This window comes from Homo sapiens, chromosome 20, assembly GCF_000001405.40.
Source record: "Homo sapiens chromosome 20, GRCh38.p14 Primary Assembly".
In the NCBI taxonomy this organism is placed as follows: Eukaryota; Metazoa; Chordata; class Mammalia; order Primates; family Hominidae; genus Homo; species Homo sapiens.
Window position 1 is genome coordinate 42,193,893 of NC_000020.11, and position 19,589 is coordinate 42,213,481.

At 41.7% G+C, this 19,589-nt stretch overlaps 1 protein-coding gene across 11 annotated transcripts in view, besides 1 other annotated feature; it reads right to left on the reverse strand.

Moving 5' to 3' along the window:
* PTPRT (protein tyrosine phosphatase receptor type T) overlaps positions 1-19,589 on the reverse strand; it is a 1,158,017-nt gene that overhangs the window by 162,003 nt on the left and 976,425 nt on the right. For all 11 annotated transcript variants that reach the window (XM_047439848.1, NM_001394024.1, NM_007050.6 and 8 more), the window contains one exon: positions 5,348-5,496. In XM_047439848.1, coding sequence (XP_047295804.1) covers positions 5,348-5,496 — 149 coding nt within the window. The remainder of the gene's footprint in view (positions 1-5,347; positions 5,497-19,589) is intronic.
* Positions 12,048-12,680: an enhancer, noted in NCBI's record as "H3K27ac-H3K4me1 hESC enhancer chr20:40834580-40835212 (GRCh37/hg19 assembly coordinates)". NCBI's record gives its function as "activates a minimal SCP1, AML or CMV promoter by ChIP-STARR-seq in naive H9 embryonic stem cells {active_cell/tissue: H9 hESC(naive)}" and the evidence as "EXISTENCE:reporter gene assay evidence [ECO:0000049][PMID:30033119]".

The following is a 19,589-nucleotide window of genomic DNA, read 5'->3' on the forward strand; positions in this document are numbered from 1 at the left end:
TTATTGGATATATCCCCAAATTCTTTGCAGAATGAGATGGATAGACTCTAACTGAAATCAGGAGAGATGTATTCTCATTACGACTCTGCAATATATGTATGATTTGGGCCATGAAAGCTCTCTGAACCTCAGTTTCCTCATCTGTAGAATGGGAATAATTAAAAACCTACTAGCTACCTTATTCCTACAGGAATAAGGAACTATTGCTGCAGTGGAGCGTTTTGCAGAAAGACTTCGTAAACTATGAAAGGCTTACAAGTAGAACCATGTATTATTTGTGATATAATACCTCATTTTATTCATCTTTGAAACTACCTCTCTCCCCAGACCGTGCCACATGGCTTACAGCACAGGGGTAGGCATGTACTGAGAAAAAGTCCATTAAATCCCAGCTCCAAGGTGACACTTAGCAGAGAGCTAGATGGCCCAGTGTCTGTCTGATGACCCTTAGAGAAGGACTGCCTTTACCTTCCAGACATGGAATAATTCAATAGAGGGAAAGCATAAAAATCAGGACGGAGTTAACTCATGGTACCCAGTAGGCAAGTTAATCTGTCAAATGCCATTATGGGAAGAGCAGACTACCAAGTCCCCATATCACAGGAATTCAAAAGGAATTTATTTTGAAGCATTTTTGTTTGGACTGAAAATGAACAAGAAGATGACATGTGAACAAAAGAGATAAAGAAGAAGATTTAAGCACCAGAAGAAAGACCCAGAAAATGATCCCAGTGAGCAAAAGATCGCAGAGAAAAATAACAAGTACACAGGGCAGTAAGATCAAAATCAGATTACTTAATAAAAGCTAGCATTTCTCTAAATGGAAAACAATGCACGTTGTTTGTCCTTGAAATGTGACACGTACTCCTTTTTCAAGAATACCAAGGCACTCCAAAGCAATGGCCCATATCTGACAAAGCCCCATCACCCTAGAGCCCTGGAGGTCATTGTTCCTATACAATATTAGAAGGTTTGATTGAATAGATGTCACAGAACTTAGCAGTCACTTGAAATAGAAAAATCAAACACCGCATGTTCTCACTCATAGGTGGAAATTGAATAGTGAGAACACATGGACACAGGAAGGGAAACATCACACACCGGGGCCTGTTGTGGGGTGGGGGATGGGGGAGGGATAGCATTTGGAGATACACCTAATGTTAAATGACGAGTTACTGGGTGCAGCACACCAACATGGTACATGTATACATATGTAACTAACCTGCACGTTGTGCACATGTACCCTAAAACTTAAAGCATAATAAAAAAAAGAAAAAAGAAAACCCCAGAAAATAAACCTATGCAGGGACAGGTAGAATTTGAATTAGGCTAGGGCCTACCTGGTCAATAATGAAATAATTGCTCAAGGCACGTTCTTCTGTAATCTTTTGCAATGTAACAACTATTCTGTGCCCTACCTCTCAATGCTGCCTCAACATTTGTACATAATCTCAGGGCCTCCTAAAGACACCGATTCAGAGGCCAGACAGTCACTTCCCTAATGCCACAAAAATAGATTCAATTCTACATACATCAGGGTGATTTCAGAAGCAATTTCTCATCTCCAGTGTAAGCATTACTTACATTTTTCCCCCTCAAATCTCATCCCAGTGGTTCCACAGGGCATTTTAAAGGTACCTGATGCATTCTAGGGCAGTCAAAAGATCCTGAGAGTGTTTTTGTAGCTGTAGCCTGAGGACGTCAGATGCATAGAGAGTCCTAACGTATTCAGTGATTCAGACTAATGCAGAATTTTCTAATAATTGAGTATAATAAGTCAATCATTATTTAAATATTTTAGAAAGCAATATTGTTATGATGAATGCATATATACAGTCATATATGTATATTTGTGTATATATGACTGTGTAGGTTTATACCTCTCTCTGTATATTTACGTGTCTGTGTAAATATAAAACACATATGCACACACATACATACACACCTTAATCATTTGAAAAGTTTGTCCCTGGCCTTTAAAACATCTAATTAGATTTCACTGGATATTTCTCCTCTTCCTTTATGGCAAGTTAAACTATTTCAGTCTTGGGTGTTTTCATCTTAAGGGTCTAAGTTTTGGCCCATAGCGAACAGTGACAATGTTATCCTTTGAAACATAAGAAATCAGTATTACCCAGGTTTGCATTTGAGATCAGAAAGATTGAGAACCAATATCTAAAATTTCAGGGTCACAATGATTGTCAAGAAGTTTTGGCCATAATCATTTTGCTTTTAAGAGTCCTCCCAGGGTACTTTTACAAATGGAAAAAAGTGCACAAGAGGCTGGACTGGACAGAAAAGGATGAATTGGTATTACTTGACCAGTATTTTCAATCAGATGAACTTGCAAATGAACTTCTCTGCCCCAGAGCCGAAAGCAGGGGATCCAGTGACAACTTAGCATAGCCAGAGACTCAGTGAGCTCCTGATGAGCCTTTCTCTTTTTTTCTATTATTATTAATTGACACTAATTATATACATATTTATGGGGTATAGTGTGATACATGTATATAATGTATAATAATCAGGGTAATTAATATATTAATCACCTCTAAATTTATCATTCCTTTGTGTTAGAAACATTCAAAATCCACTGCTTTAGCTATTTGAAAATATACAATAAACTGTTATTAATTATAGTCACCCTACAGTACAATAGAACATTAGAACTTATTCCTCCTAGCTACCTGTAATTTTGCAACAGAGGTTGGTTTACAGATGCAAAATTATAGCTAGGATGTTCCTTTCTTTTAAGGAAAAATCAAGCCCATTTTCTTGTCAACCCTGGTCTATGTCAACAACCAATTTCCCTGCTTCTAGGAAATGTATGAGTCTCAGTGATTTATCTGGATTGAAAATGGGAAAAAAAGGACTGGCTTCATGGTTAGGCAAACCGCAAATTTGCTCTGATCCCTAAGAAAAACAGATGTTAAATATTTGCTCATAATCAGTATGTGCCATTAGACTTTGTCTTTAAAAGCCATTATCTAACCTTAAGAAGAACTCAAACTTACCATCACTGGTAATGTGCAAAGCGGTATGATATGTCCATTAATAGGATGTAAAGGGAAGTACGTCATATCAGCTATGTCATATTTTTGCCAAAATGTGTAACCTGAATGTTATCATGATGAAAAAAATTAGACAAATCTGGATTGTGGAACACTCTGCAGGACGACAGCCCTAGACTTTAAAAAAATGTCAAGGCTGGGTGTGGTGGCTCACGCCTGTAATCCCAGCACTTTGGGAGGCCGAGGCGGGCGGATTACGAGGTCAGGAGATCGAGACCATCCTGGCAAACACGGTGAAACCCCGTCTCGACTAAAAATACAAAAAATTAGCCACGCGTGGTGGTGGGCACCTGTATTCCCAGCTACTTGGGAGGCTGAGGCAGGAGAATGGGGTGAACCCAGGAGGCGGAGCTTGCAGTGAGCAGAGATCGCACCACTGCACTCCCTCCTGGGTGATAGAGTGAGACTCCATCAAAAAAAAAAAAAAAAAAAAAAAAAGTCAGTATCCTGAAAGAAAAAATAAAGTTGAGAGGGCTGTTCTAGATCAAAGAGGATAAAGACAGCTGAAAACCAAATACAATGTGAGCGCTCTGATTGGATCCTGGATTAAAATAACAAACAAATAAGCAATAGAGAACATTTGGAGGACATTGAGGCAATTTGACTATGAACTGGTATATTAGATCACTGAAGTAAGGTTATACTTTATTGTGGTTATGTTGAAGAGGTATCCTAGTTCTTAGGAAATACATGCTGAATTCTCTGGAGGTAAAGTGTCATGATGTCTGCAACTTACTTCTAAATGATTCAGAAAATTTTGAAAAAAAAAACATGGATAAGGGGAGAAAGAGAGAGAGGGTGAGTACAGCCAAGTGCAAAAGTGCAAATGTTGCAAAATGGTAGCAGTTGGTGAATCTAGGTAAAGGGTATATGAGTATTCATTTTGCTGTCTTCTCAACATTTTTGTAGGTTTAAACTAATCTCTCTTCCCAAAGACAGTACATCAGTATCTAAGCATAGCTATTGCCTCTGTCCAAGTGCTGTATTCTAAATCTGGGTGCCTATGAGAACTCTCTGAATGACTTACAAAATCCATATCCCTCAGTTGGGCCCCACCTCTCATCCCCCAGGAGATTTTGATTCAGGAGATAAGGTGTGGGGTCCAGATATGGATGTGTTGAAAACCTCCCCAGGTAGGTTCTGTGCTACACTGGAGCTTAGGAATCATGGGCCTGAGTTACTCTCAGATCTGGATCCATTAAAAACAAGCTGTGTGGCTCTGAGATGGCTGGCCAAACACACTTAGCATTGCATAGCTTACCTATAAAATGGGAACAATAATACTAAGGATCTTACAGGACTATGGTGAGGATGAGAGACAGTGTCTACATTATAGAAGGGGATAAATTTTTTCTTTCTTTCTTTATCCTCTCATAGATCCCCATCATCCCAAACTGATCATCTCTTGAGTGATTTTTTACAAAATGGAGGTTCTTCCATTTGTAGCTTACATGGTATGTGGAGGACATCTGTGTTATGCACAGATTCTTTGAGACTTCTTGCATTACCCAATTTGGGGAAGAGGCTGGGAAATCTAGTCTGTTAACTGTCTGATAGAATGGCTGTAAGAACAGAAGCAAGTCTGTCCACAAGGAAGCCTTAGATGTTGGCAGTCTTGGAGTTCTTCTTAGGATAAGGGTTAACCCTGATATCTTAACCACCCAAATCTTGGGATCCTTTATTAACACTGCACAAGGACTCAGGTGCCCTTGACCAATGCTACTTGGAACACTGGCTGTGGTGGAACTGGCAAATGTTTGAGGGATGAGGCTTCCAATCTAAATATGTAACTCATCAGCCATTGTATTTTAGATAAGTTGCTTCTCTGAGCCTCAGTTTCCTAACCACTCAGAGTGGAGACAGTCATAATCTGTGACTCACCTACCTTATGTGGTGTATATGAAACACAGATTTGAAAATCTTAAGCCACTCAATTCAGTGTGGCATATTTTTCTCCTTAAGGACATAACCATCCTCCTCCTCTTTCTTTTTTACTGCTATTATTTTTAACCTGTCTCTATTTATGTCCACAAGCAGTTAGGATGACTTGCTCCCATTTCCATCTGATTTGGGGAAGATTTTTTAAATATTCCTTTTCATCTTAGGATGAACTGCCCCAAGTCTTTGTCAGGGAGAACCTTCATCCCAGTCCATATCAGGCAAGCATCCATACCCTATGCCTGGCAGCACCTGATCAATGTGTGGGGTTCACAGCAGAAGTACTAGGGCTGAGCTGGACCACGGATGTCCCCTTCCCCTTTGTTGGCTCTACTTACTGAATCCGTTGACGTCCTGAGAACTAGAAGAGAAGCCTTCATCATTGCGGCTGGCGCTGAGCTTGGTGGTGGGTTTGTCGGCAGAGGCCACAGGCCCCATCTCCCTCTGGGCTCCACTCTGGGTCTCCTTCTGCTTCTTGGCCAGCTTCCTTTGGGACATGTGCAAGGGGAAAAAACCACAGTCAGATGGTGCCAGTTGCATTAAAGCATTGGGTAGATTGTTCTTCCCCAATGCTCATCCTCAACCCCCAAATCTGGTTCATTCTCCAGAAAAAGAATCAAGGCAGAACAAACCATGAATGGTTTCCATTTACTCAGAAATATGAGACTCACGCTGCTGCCTCACCCCCGACAATGCATGTGTTCTATGTTTGAGCCTAAAATGGGAAATCAATGAGACTTGTACAATGCTTCCCCCACTCTCCTTTCAGAGGAAATCAACAAGATTTGTATTCCTTTCCCTAAGTCTCCTTTCAGAGGGAGGAAGTGGCTAGACTGGCCTTTCTGTTTCTGTGGCTCTGAATGAGATTAAAAATGGAGGCTTGTCTTTCTCAGGAACTGAGCTCATCAAAAACCTACCAAATAATAGTAGAGTGAAGCAGGGGCTGGTGGTTGGAAATGGATGAGTGTGCGGGTTAGTTTCACAGCTCAAAAGAAGGAAATTTAGAGCTGAATTGATGCAACCTTATTCCCATGGGAATAAAAGACCCTCAGAACCAGACGGATATTATCATAATATAACTATTATGATAATAATAGTGTAGAGCAGTGCTTCTCAAACTTTGGTGTAAATTTGAATCACCTGAAGAGTCACAAAAAAATACACACACACACACACACACAGAGGCTCAGGATCATTGAAGTAGGACAGGACCTAGAATTCTACATGGCCATCAAGTTCCCCAAGTTATTCTGACACCAGCCACTGGAGGTTAAAAATATCAGCTTTGGTGTCAGACAGACTCAGGTTCATAGCTTACCTCTGCTGCCTGCCAACTAGCTGCAAGACCCAGGGCAAATTTCTTACTCTAAATCCTGAACTATTCTTCTGTATACTGTGGCAGATGACAGGACCAACCTTATAGGGTTGTGAGGATTAAATGAGACAATGCATAAAATACACAGAGCACAGTGCCTCGCACATAGTGGACACTAGACACCTAGCAGTTGCTATTCTTGTTTTTTCTACTATTGCCAGTGGATCCAACTATATTCTAATGTTGGAATTCCCTCCCCAACAGCCCCACTGTGGGATCCCATCTCTCCCTGAATTCTTTCAAATGATGTGGACTTTGACCTCACTGAGGAACTAAAAAGTTAAAAAGTTCTTTTCTATGGATTTAAAATCTATGTCCTTTAAATTTTAACTGGATAGGTCTCAGATATATCATTAGAGATACAAAAATATGACTAACTCCTCTTGCATATAAGAGTTATTCAAATATTTCGAAAAAGCGAACATGGTCCCTCTTTTTCCAACATATATGCATCGAAATATAGCTGTTATAGTCTTATCACATGAAAGGCTATAGGTTAAACATCAGATATCTTGAGAGTAAATTTCTCCAAGTCTCTTACTCCATCCTTCACAACAGTAGGCTTCAAATTCAATTTTGGTCATTCCTGTCCTGTCTCAACACACAAAAAGGGCTGTCCCAGAGAGGTCAAATCCAGTGCAATACAGGGAATAATTTTCCAAGGTTGAGCCCCACTGATCATGAAACAGATAGTTTCAAGAGGTAACAATCTCCCTGCCAGAGGAAGTATAAAAGGAAAGGATAAACCTCAACTTAGGCTGGGAACAGTGGCTCATGCCTGTAATCCCAGCACGCTGGGAGGCTGAGCTGGGCAGATCACTTGAGCCCAGGAATTGAGACCAGCTTGGGCAACATGGTGAAACCCCATCTCTACAAAAATTAGCCAGGTGTGGTGGTGCACACCTGTGCTACTCAGCAGGCTGAGGTGGGAAGATCACTTGAGAGCCCAAGAGGTGGAGGCTGCAGTGAGCCGAGATCACGCCTCTGCACTCCAGTCTGGGTGACAGAGTGAGACCCCATCAAACAAACAAACAAACAAAAAACAGAAAAGAAAAGAAAGACCCAAACCTCAGCTTAGAAGTGTTTTAGAGGAGTTCACATAGGACAAATTCCAGTTTGATAGCATCCTCCTTGAAACATGAATCTCATGCTCTAGGTGTAGACTTCACAGAAGAATGACAGAGGGCATACTCAAATGAGGACAATTTGAGGAAGGTTTATTTATAAAAGGTCTGCTGATAAAGGTGACAAATGTATAGAGACCCATAATATACTAGTGCCTCAGTAGGAGAGCTGTTTATTACCTATGGGACCAGAGGAACAAATAGAGGAAGCAGTAACCAGAGCCCCAAAGAAGAGAGCTGTGAAAAGGAGGTACCCTGAACAGAAGCAGCGGCTTTCTCTTGAAAGGCCCAGCCAGTCATAGACAACCTGACAGGGAGAGAACCAGAGGCAAAAAAAAAAAAAAAAAAAAAAAATGCCCTGACTACACCTTATGCCCTTCCTCTGGTCGCCTGTGGCAGTTCTCACTAGCTGAACCCAACAAGTCAGAAGTGGCAAGTGATCTTTTTGACAGACTTCATACAGAATGCACTCTGGAAGCAGAGAGCACAGTAGAGAAAGGTGGAAAGGGGAACTGGATCCAGGAATCCCAACCAAGAAGAGAAAAGTTGCGTGTGTGTGTGTGTGTGTGTGTGTGTGTATGTATGTGTGGACAGTGTCTTATTCTGTTGCCTACACTGGAGTGCAGTGGTGCGATTTCAGCTCACTGCAGCCTCTGCCTCCCAGGCTCAAGTAATTCTCATGCCTCAGCCTCCAGAGTAGCTGGGACTACAGGTGTCTGCCACCGCATCCAGCTAAGTTTTTGTAATTTAGTAGAGACAGCGTTTTACCATATTGCCCAGGGTGGTCTTGAACTCCTGAGCTCAGGCAATCCGCCTGCATTGGCCTCCCAAAGTGCTAGGATTACAGGTGGGAGCCACCGTGCCCAGCCGAGAAAGTTTCTTTATACGTCTCGTTTTGGCCATAATTTGGAGAAACATGTAGCCTAAAATGGAATTCTTTATTCACTAATTTTTTTAAGTTGGCTCGGGGAAAGAAAGGCACTCAGGAAGAGGAATGCATCTTTTCATTATAATGCTTTGGCCACAGGCACACTGTTCTACCAGTAAAATGATTCCAGGCAGATATACAACAAGAAATGAAGCATTGGATTGGTCAGACAATTAGACAGGGGCGGGGGAATGCCAACGAAAGAAAAATGAGCAATTCTGCTTCTGATGACATTTTGAAATTTTATTCTTCATTTATTATCAAAAAGGAGTGTGTTTAAAAATGTATATGTGACCTTCTTAATCATAAATTTGAAAAGAAATATAGCAGATTCTTTGCTTCTATCTGAGCTCTGCTCACATTGCCCCAGCAGGAAATAAAAGGAAATCTGATAAGAGAGTTAACTTAAAACTATAAATGAGTATGTTTCGGAGGCTTTGATATTTCCTTAGGGGCAGAACTCTCAACCAATCTCATTCCATTCAGGGTAAAGTAATATGGAAAGGGTTGTCTTAGGCACAGATCATTGGTTTTCAAAGGAATCATAATAATAATGAAAGCCTTGCTGCTTTTATGAAAAATGGTACTTTATAGAAATGTTTGGGTAGCTCTGAACACCTGTATTAAAAAAAGAAAAACTAAGCATCCCCAAAACACATATTTAAAAATTGGAAAGCTAACTGAATTGTAAAAATATCAGATATATTACATCCTTAGTATTTAAAGCTGATGGCTGACTCTGTATTTTCATGGTGATAATAATGTTATATAATCATTTTAATGTATGGATAGATGTTATGGCAATTGGCAAAGACAGCTACAAGGTGGAAATGGAGGGGGTATTTGTGGAAGGAAATAAAACACAAAACCACAGTTTGGGGATCTATATCTATTCTTTCAGAATTCTGAATTTAAGTGTTAAAAAGACCTCTCAGTAACACAGAAAAATTGACATTCATCTCCATAGCCAAATAATTTAATTTACTACCTCATTATTTTTCTCTCTCAACGAAAGAGAAACCCAAATCTGTGAATAGGGCAAACAAGACCCTTAAACTAAGGACTGGGCTTCAACTCAGTCTTATTCTCTGCACATAACCTTATCCTCCCCTTTCAGAAAACATCAACTACCTCCTCCCACCACACTATTTCTCAATACTCCATATTCCTTGATGTGTCCCTCTTCTTCTCCACTGGTCACCTCCTCTTTGTCCTCCAAGGCTCAATGTAAGTGTCACATCTCCTCTGAGGCTTCTCCCTGCTCTTCTACATAGAATTATAATTTTCTCCTCTTGCTTGACTCATCCATTGAACATGTACATGTATAAGTCTCTGCTAAATACTAGAAGATCATGTCTTCTTGACCTTAATCCACATGGAACATGAAGACTAATGGCAAAGACGGGCATTAAACAGATAAATACAGAGACAAAAATCACAAAGACGATGAACACCAAGAAGAAATACCTGTTGCTATGTAAGAGCTAGAACCTGGTTTGAACCCTGGCAGCAGATCAGGGAGGGTTTTGGTGCCATGTTAGCTACGTACTTGTTGAGTCAAATTGCAGTGATTCAACTCTTTCACCTACTACGACAAGAACTTCTTGGGAAAGGGCTTTTGACTCTTTGCACCTACTCCAATTTCTTGCTGAGTGTCTGGCACATGGCTCAATAAACTTGTTGCACGAATTTATACTTAAAAGTCTGCAATTTGGAGTCTAGAAAAGATAGTCCTCTTACTCTGAACACAAATTACAACCACTTTAAAAGTAGATACGTGCAAAGAAAGAGAAGGAAACGCCTGCATAAAATTAGCTGGTGACCTGGAATATTCGTAACTAGAAATATTTTGGGCGGTAACTTAGCATTTCCTTCTTGGAATGTTTGCAGAATTAACAAAATATTCATGGGAGTCAGAGATTTCCCCCGCAGAGCCCACAAAATAGCTGCAGCTATAGCATGTTGAAGAAGAAAAAAAAAATCTCATGCAATAGTCATATGACTCATGGGATGATCATATAATTCATGGAATTCTCAGAGCCTTCAAAACTCAAGTACTTATGACTTTCTGAACTGAGGATTTTTTTCTGTAGTTGCTTTGAGATTTTTGCCAACTGGGTCACACAATTTCGCCAGCAGGGGGTACCAAAAGCTGATAAAAAGAGAGTATGCATAAGTCTGTTTATTCCTTTGCAGGAACATTTCCAAAGCTGAAGACTGTTTTAAGACACAGCAATCCAAAGTTTACTGCTTCTGACAGGTGAGGACGAGGTGACGCGGCCATAGCTCTTGGCATTTTCCTTCTAACGGATCACTTTGAGCTCTCTCTGACCTTCGCTTGTTAGCTGAGGGAGGGGTAGGTGGCAGGGGATGGGCCCAGGATGGACCATGAGTCCTGTGATTTGTTCTGAGTGCCACTCTTTACAAGGGATACTGGCAGGTAGAATGGCTCACGGGAGAGGAATGAAGGGCTGTTAAAAGTGTGGAAATCATGCTACGAGAGGAGGAGTGCGTGAAACATCCAGGGACATTTCTCACGGAGAGGGAATACAAAGTAACGTTCTCTTCATGCATCTGATGGTTGGGTCTCTATGGTCCCAGGGGCAGAATGAGGACCAGGTTGGCTTGATACAACGAAGGAATTTCTTTTTTTTTTTTTATTATACTTTTAGTTTTAGGGTACATGTGCACAACGTGCAGGTTTGTTACATATGTATACATGTGCCATGTTGGTCTGTGGTGGGGTGGGGGGAGGGGGGAGGGATAGCATTAGGAGATATACCTAATGTTAAATGACGAGTTAATGGGTGCAGCACACCAACATGGCACAACGAAGGAATTTCTAGCAAAGTAGAACTGCTTAGGTCTCTTTTGGAAGCACCTAACGCCTGAATTCCCCTCCCCAATTTTTCTGGTTTAGCAACCTTCTCTTCACCTTTTAAGGCCCAACTCAAATGTCCCCTACTCTTAGAAGTCTTTGCCTCCTTCCCAAAGTTAGAAGTTCCCTCCTCTTTGCTCATTAATTTGTTGGACAAATAGTTAATGAGCAAGTACGTTGAATCTGTGGCTGTTAGAAGGAAGGAGATGATGATATGAAAAACAAGACAGGAATCCTGCCCTGTTTGGCTTTTGCAAGTACTCAGCTCCCTGCTATTGGAGAAGTTCAAGTAGAGACTGGGAAACCACTTAGAAAAGAGGTGGTGGAGGATCCCAGGATTTGGACTCTGCAAAACCCTTGACTCTCTTCTGGGCTAGGAACAGGACCATCCAGCCAACTGGTGGGGGCAGGAGTCTACAGGGTTCCACCTAGAGTTTTTCCCTGAATGTGGGAGCCATGCCCACTCTCCTGGGGAGACACTGATCAGGCACTCTTCCTCTTCCCCATAGGGCTCCTCCTCTGGGCCATCCTCCATTGCAATCTCCAGATAAACTTTCCTGGAAACCATGAAGATTGAAATCCTGGAGTCAGAGATCTCAGCCATAGGAAGTGGACCAAAAAAAAAATTCACAAGTGAGGCCCTGCTTCTACTAAAAGCTGGCACTGTCCTCTTTGAATCCAGGATGCTCTGCTGGCATGACTAGATCTCAGCTTAAAGTTACACATCGCAACTGTAAGGGAACTATAGCATCTTCTCATTTCATAGACAAGACACTGAGGCCTGGACAGAGTAGTCCCTTAGCTAAGATGCACAGCATGTAGGATGCAAGCCCTGCTTTCTGCCTGCCAGTTCAGGAATGTGGACACCTGCTCCACATTCCTCCATGCTTCTTCTAGGGATTTGCCCTTCCAGATTAGAAGGGCAAATTCAGTCTGTGGTACACATGATTCCAGTGTCTTACAAATGCAGCAAAACTTTATTCATCTATGCCCCCACTGACTCAGAATTACTGTAATTGAGGCAAAGGCTGAGCTACATCACATAAGAATCAATAGTGTAGCAGGGGGAGGAGCCAAGATGGCCGAATAGGAACAGCTCTGGTCTACAGCTCCCAGCGTGAGCGACGCAGAAGACGGTGATTTCTGCATTTCCATCTGAGGTACCGGGTTCATCTCACTAGGGAGTGCCAGACAGTGGGCGCAGGTCAGTGGGTGCGCGCACCATGCGCGAGCCGAAGCAGGGCGAGGCATTGCCTCACTTGGGAAGCGCAAGGGGTCAGGGAGTTCCCTTTCCGAGTCAAAGAAAGGGGTGACGGACGGCACCTGGAAAATCGGGTCACTCCCACCCGAATACTGCGCATTTCCGACGGGCTTAAAAAACGGCGAACCACGAGATTATATCCCACACCTGGCTTGGAGGGTCCTACGCCCACGGAGTCTCGCTGATTGCTAGCACAGCAGTCTGAGATCAAACTGCAAGGTGGCAGCGAGGCTGGGGGAGGGGCACCCGCCATTGCCCAGGCTTGCTTAGATAAACAAAGCAGCCCGGAAGCTCGAACTGGGTGAACTGGGCGGAGCCCACCACAGCACAAGGAGGCCTGCCTGCCTCTGTAGGCTCCACCTCTGGGGGCAGGGCACAGACAAACAAAAAGACAGCAGTAACCTCTGCAGACTTAAATGTCCCTGTCTGACAGCTTTGAAGAGAGCAGTGGTTCTGCCAGCACGCAGCTGGAGATCTGAGAACCTGCAGACTGCCTCCTCAAGTGGGTCCCTGACCCCTGACCCCCGAGCAGCCTAACTGGGAGGCACCCCCCAGCAGGGGCACACTGACACCTCACAAGGCAGGGTATTCCAACAGACCTGCAGCTGAGGGTCCTATCTGTTAGAAGGAAAACTAACAAACAGAAAGGACATCCACACCGAAAACCCATCTGTACATCACCATCATCAAAGACCAAAAGTAGATAAAACCACAAAGATGGGGAAAAAACAGAACAGAAAAACTGGAAATTCTAAAACGCAGAGCGCCTCTCCTCCTCCAAAGGAACACAGTTCGTCACCAGCAACGGAACAAAGCTGGATGGAGAATGACTTTGACGAGCTGAGAGAAGAAGGCTTCAGACGATCAAATTACTCTGAGCTACAGGAGGACATTCAAACCAAAGGCAAAGAAGTTGAAAACTTTGAAAAAAATTTAGAAGAATGTATAACTAGAATAACCAATACAGAGAAGTGCTTAAAGGAGCTGATGGAGCTGAAAACCAAGGCTCGAGAACTACGTGAAGAATGCAGAAGCCTCAGGAGCCGATGCGATCAACTGGAAGAAAGGGTATCAGCAATGGAAGATGAAATGAATGAAATGAAGCGAGAAGGGAAGTTTAGAGAAAAAAGAATAAAAAGAAATGAGCAAAGCCTCCAAGAAATATGGGACTATGTGAAAAGACCAAATCTACGTCTGATTGGTGTACCTGAAAGTGATGGGGAGAATGGAACCAAGTTGGAAAACACTCTGCAGGGTATTATCCAGGAGAACTTCCCCAATCTAGCAAGGCAGGCCAACGTTCAGATTCAGGAAATACAGAGAACGCCACAAAGATACTCCTCGAGAAGAGCAACTCCAAGACACATAATTGTCAGATTCACCAAAGTTGAAATGAAGGAAAAAATGTTAAGGGCAGCCAGAGAGAAAGGTCGGGTTACCCTCAAAGGGAAGCCCATCAGACTAACAGCGGATCTCTCGGCAGAAACCCTACAAGCCAGAAGAGAGTGGGGGCCAATATTCAACATTCTTAAAGAAAAGAATTTTCAACCCAGAATTTCATATCCAGCCAAACTCAGCTTCATAAGTGAAGGAGAAATAAAATACTTTACAGACAAGCAAATGCTGAGAGATTTTGTCACCACCAGGCCTGCCCTAAAAGAGCTCCTGAAGGAAGCGCTAAACATGGAAAGGAGCAACCGGTACCAGCTGCTGCAAAATCATGCCAAAATGTAAAGACCATCGAGACTAGGAAGAAACTGCATCAACTAACGAGCAAAATCACCAGCTAACGTCATAATGACAGAATCAAATTCACACATAACAATATTAACTTTAAATGTAAATGGACTAAATGCTCCAATTAAAAGACACAGACTGGCAAGTTGGATAAAGAGTCAAGACTCATCAGTGTGCTGTATTCAGGAAACCCATCTCACGTGCAGAGACACACATAGGCTCAAAATAAAAGGATGGAGGAAGATCTACCAAGCAAATGGAAAACAAAAAAAAGGCAGGGGTTGCAATCCTAGTCTCTGATAAAACCGACTTTAAACCAACAAAGATCAAAAGAGACAAAGAAGGCCATTACATAATGGTAAAGGGATCAATTCAACAAGAAGAGCTAACTATCCTAAATATATATGCACCCAATACAGGAGCACCAAGATTCATAAAGCAAGTCCTGAGTGACCTACAAAGAGACTTAGACTCCCACACATTAATAATGGGAGACTTTAACACCCCACTGTCAACATTAGACAGATCAATGAGACAGAAATTCAACAAGGATACCCAGGAATTGAACTCAGCTCTGCACCGAGTGGACCTAATAGACATCTACAGAACTCTCCACCCCAAATCAACAGAATATACATTTTTTTCAGCACCACACCACACCTATTCCAAAATTGACCACATACTTGGAAGTAAAGGTCTCCTTAGCAAATGTAAAAGAACACAGAAATTATAACAAACTATCTCTCAGACCACAGTGCAATCAAACTAGAACTCAGGATTAAGAATCTCACTCAAAACCGCTCAACGACATGGAAACTGAACAACCTGCTCCTGAATGACTACTGGGTACATAACGAAATGAAGGCACAAAGAAAGATGTTCTTTGAAACCAATGAGAACAAAGACACAACATACCAGAATCTCTGGGACACATTTAAAGCAGTGTGTAGAAGTAAATTTATAGCACTTAATGCCCACAAGAGAAAGCAGGAAAGATCCAAAATTAATACCCTAACATCACAATTAAAAGAACTAGAAAAGCAAGAGCAAACACATTCAAAAGCTAGCAGAAGGCAAGAAATAACTAAGATCAGAGCAGAACTGAAGGAAATAGAGACACAAAAAACCCTTCAAAAAATTAATGAATCCAGGAGCTGGTTTTTTGAAAGGATCTACAAAATTGATAGACTGCTAGCAAGACTAATAAAGAAAAAAAGAGAGAAGAATCTAATAGACACAATAAAAAATGATAAAGGGGATATCACCACCAATCCCACAGAAATGCAAACTACCATCAGAGAATACTACAAACACCTCTACGCAAATGAACTAGAAAATCTAGAAGAAATGGATAAATTCCTTGACACATACACTCTCCCAAGACTAAACCAGGAAGAAGTTGAATCTCTGAATAGACCAATAACAGGATCTGAAATTGTGGCAATAATCAATAGCTTACCAACCAAAAAGAGTCCAGGACCAGATAGATTCACAGCTGAATTCTACCAGAGGTACAAGGAGGAACTGGTACCATTCCTTCTGAAACTATTCCAATCAATAGAAAAAGAGGGAATCCTCCATAACTCATTTTATGAGGCCAGCATCATTCTGATACCAAAGCCTGGCAGAGACACAACAAAAAAAGAGAATTTTAGACCAATATCCTTGATGAACATTGATGCAAAAATCCTCAATAAAATACTGGCAAAACGAATCCAGCAGCACATCAAAAAGCTTATCCACCATGATCAAGTGGGCTTCCTCCCTGGGATGCAAGGCTGGTTCAATATACGCAAATCAATAAATGTAATCCAGCATATAAACAGAGCCAAAGACAAAAACCACATGATTATTTCAATAGATGCAGAAAAAGCCTTTGACAAAATTCAACAACCCTTCATGCTAAAAACTCTCAATAAATTGGGTATTAATGGGACGTATTTCAAAATAATAAGAGCTATCTATGACAAACCCACAGCCAATATCATACTGAATGGGCAAAAACTGGAAGCATTCTCTTTGAAAACTGGCACAAGACAGGGATGCCCTCTCTCACCACTCCTATTCAACACAGTGTTGGAAGTTCTGGCCAGGGCAATGAGGCAGGAGAAGGAAATAAAGGGTATTCAATTAGGAAAAGAGGAAGTCAAATTGTCCCTGTTTGCAGATGACATGATTGTATATCTAGAAAACCCCATCGTCTCAGCCCAAAATCTCCTTAAGCTGATAAGCAACTTCAGCAAAGTCTCAGGATACAAAATCAATGTACAAAAATCATAAGCATTCTTATACACCAACAGACAAACAGAGAGCCAAATCATGAGTGAACTCCCATTCACAATTGCCTCAAAGAGAATAAAATACCTAGGAATCCAACTTACAAGGGATGTGAAGGACCTCTTCAAGGAGAACTACAAACCACTGCTCAAGGAAATAAAAGAGGATACAAACAAATGGAAGAACATTCCATGCTCATGGGTAGGAAGAATCAATATCGTGAAAATGGCCATACTGCCCAAGGTAATTTACAGATTCAATGCCATCCCCATCAAGTTACCAATGACTTTCTTCATAGAATTGGAAAAAACTACTTTAAAATTCATATGGAACCAAAGAAGAGCCCACATCGCCAAGTCAATCCTAACCCAAAAGAACAAAGCTGGAGGCATCACACTACCTGACTTCAAACTATACTACAAGGCTACAGTAACCAAAACAGCATGGTACTGGTACCAAAACAGAGATATAGATCAATGGAACAGAACAGAGCCCTCAGAAATAACGCCGCATATCTACAACTGTCTGATCTTTGACAAACCTGAGAAAAACAAGCAATGGGGAAAGGATTCCCTCTCTAATAAATGGTGCTGGGTAAACTGGCTAGCCATATGTAGAAAGCTGAAACTGGATCCCTTCCTTACACCTTATACAAAAATCAGTTCAAGATGGATTAAAGACTTAAACGTTAGACCTAAAACCATAAAAACCCTAGAAGGAAACCTAGGCATTACCATTCAGGACATAGGCATGGGCAAGGACTTCATGTCTAAAACACCAAAAGCAATGGCAACAAAAGACAAAATTGACAAATGGGATCTAATTAAACTAAAGAGCTTCTGCACAGCAAAAGAAACTACCATCAGAGTGAACGGGCAACCTACAAAATGGGAGAAAATTTTCGCAACCTACTCATCTGACAAAGGGCTAATATCCAGAATCTACAATGAACTCAAACAAATTTACAAGAAAAAAACAAACAACCCCGTCAAAAAGTGGGCGAAGGACATGAACAGACACTTCTCAAAAGAAGACATTTATGCAGCCAAAAAACACATGAAAAAATGCTCACCATCACTGGCCATCAGAGAAATGCAAATCAAAACCACAATGAGATACCATCTCACACCAGTTAGAATGGCCATCATTAAAAAGTCAGGAAACAACAGGTGCTGGAGAGGATGTGGAGAAATAGGAACACTTTTACACTGTTGGTGGGACTGTAAACTAGTTCAACCATTGTGGAAGTCAGTGTGGCGATTCCTCAGGGATCTAGAACTGGAAATACCATTTGACCCAGCCATCCCATTACTGGGTATATACCCAAAGGACTATAAATCATGCTGCTATAAAGACACATGCACACATATGTTTATTGCGGCGTTATTCACAATAGCAAAGACTTGGAACCAACCCAAATGTCCAACAATGATAGACTGGATTAAGAAAATGTGGCCCATATACACCATGGAATACTATGCAGCCATAAAAAATGATGAGTTCATGTCCTTTGTAGGGACATGGATGAAACTGGAAAACATCATTCTCAGTAAACTATCACAAGAAAAAAAAACCAAACACCGCATATTCTCACTCATAGATGGGAATTGAACAATGAGATCACATGGACACAGGAAGGGGAATATCACACTCTGGGAACTGTTGTGGGGTGGGGGGAGGGGGGAGGGATAGCATTGGGAGATATACCTAATGCTAGATGACGAGTTAGTGGGTGCAGTGCACCAGCATGGCACATGTATACATATGTAACATGTAACTAACCTGCACAATGTGCACATGTACCCTAAAACTTAAAGTATAAAAAAAAAAAAAAGACAAAAAAAAAAAAAGAGTTCAATGTGTTGGGAAGTCACAAAGTATAAGTACCATGCTAGTGCTAGGAAAATAAAGATGACCCAATTAGTCTTTTTTCTCAAAAAAAAAAAAAAAAAAAAAGAATCAATAGTGTAAATAGGGATATGGATGTGTGCAGCATTTAAAGGAGAATGCACTGTTTTCCCTCGTATCAGGAGGCAGGACTGCATAGCAGTTAATATACTGGCTTTGGTGCCAGACAGCCTGGCATCAAAATCTGGCTCCATGTCAGACTAGCTGTGCAAGCTCTTGCAAGTTACTGAGCCCTCTGCATGCCAGTTTCCTCCTGCCTGTAAAACACGGATTAGAGTAGTACTTCCCCCGTCAGACTGTTGGGAGGATTGAATGGTATGTTGCTGGTAAACCACTTTGCCCAGGGTATGCACACAGTAAGCACTCAATAAATGCTCTCTGGTATGATCATATTTTAAATACAAAAAAATCCATGTTAGTTTAAATAACCTCATTATTTATTAAATATGAATACTTTGAAGTGGATGCCCTGGATAATGACTTTTCTTTAAAAACCTCCATTGATGCAGTCTAGAGCCATGCTTTTCAGCTTTGGCTGAGCACATCATTTGGGGAGCTTTAAAAATTACCAGTGAGATTCTAATTTAATTGGTCTGGGGTGCAGCCTGGGCATCTGGGCATTCAGAAGCTTTCCAGGTGATTATAGTGTGCCACTAAGCTTGAGCACCACCGATGCGGAACAGCTGTTCTCCAAGTGTGGTTTCCCTGGACCAGCAGCATCCGCTTCACCTGGGGATGTATTAGCAACGCAAGTTCACCGGCCCTGCCCTGACCTACTGAATCAGAAACTCTAGGTGATCAATAAGCCCTCCAAGCAATTCTACTGCATGCCAAAGTTTGAGAACCACCGAAGTAGGTGGGCCCACTCTTCAGCAGGTCTGAATTAGTAAAGTTTCATTCTTGAAAATGGAACACTAGAAGGTAAGAGACCCGGGTGCCGGGTCCAGATCTCCAGATATCTCATTGAGTTGCCGTGAACACTCCCTTTCCCCTCTCTGTGTATTGATTTCACTATAGTGGGGGAGTTGGCATCTAAGAATCATGGCAACAACTGATGCTTTTAAAATGATTGTTATGGATTGAACTGTGTTC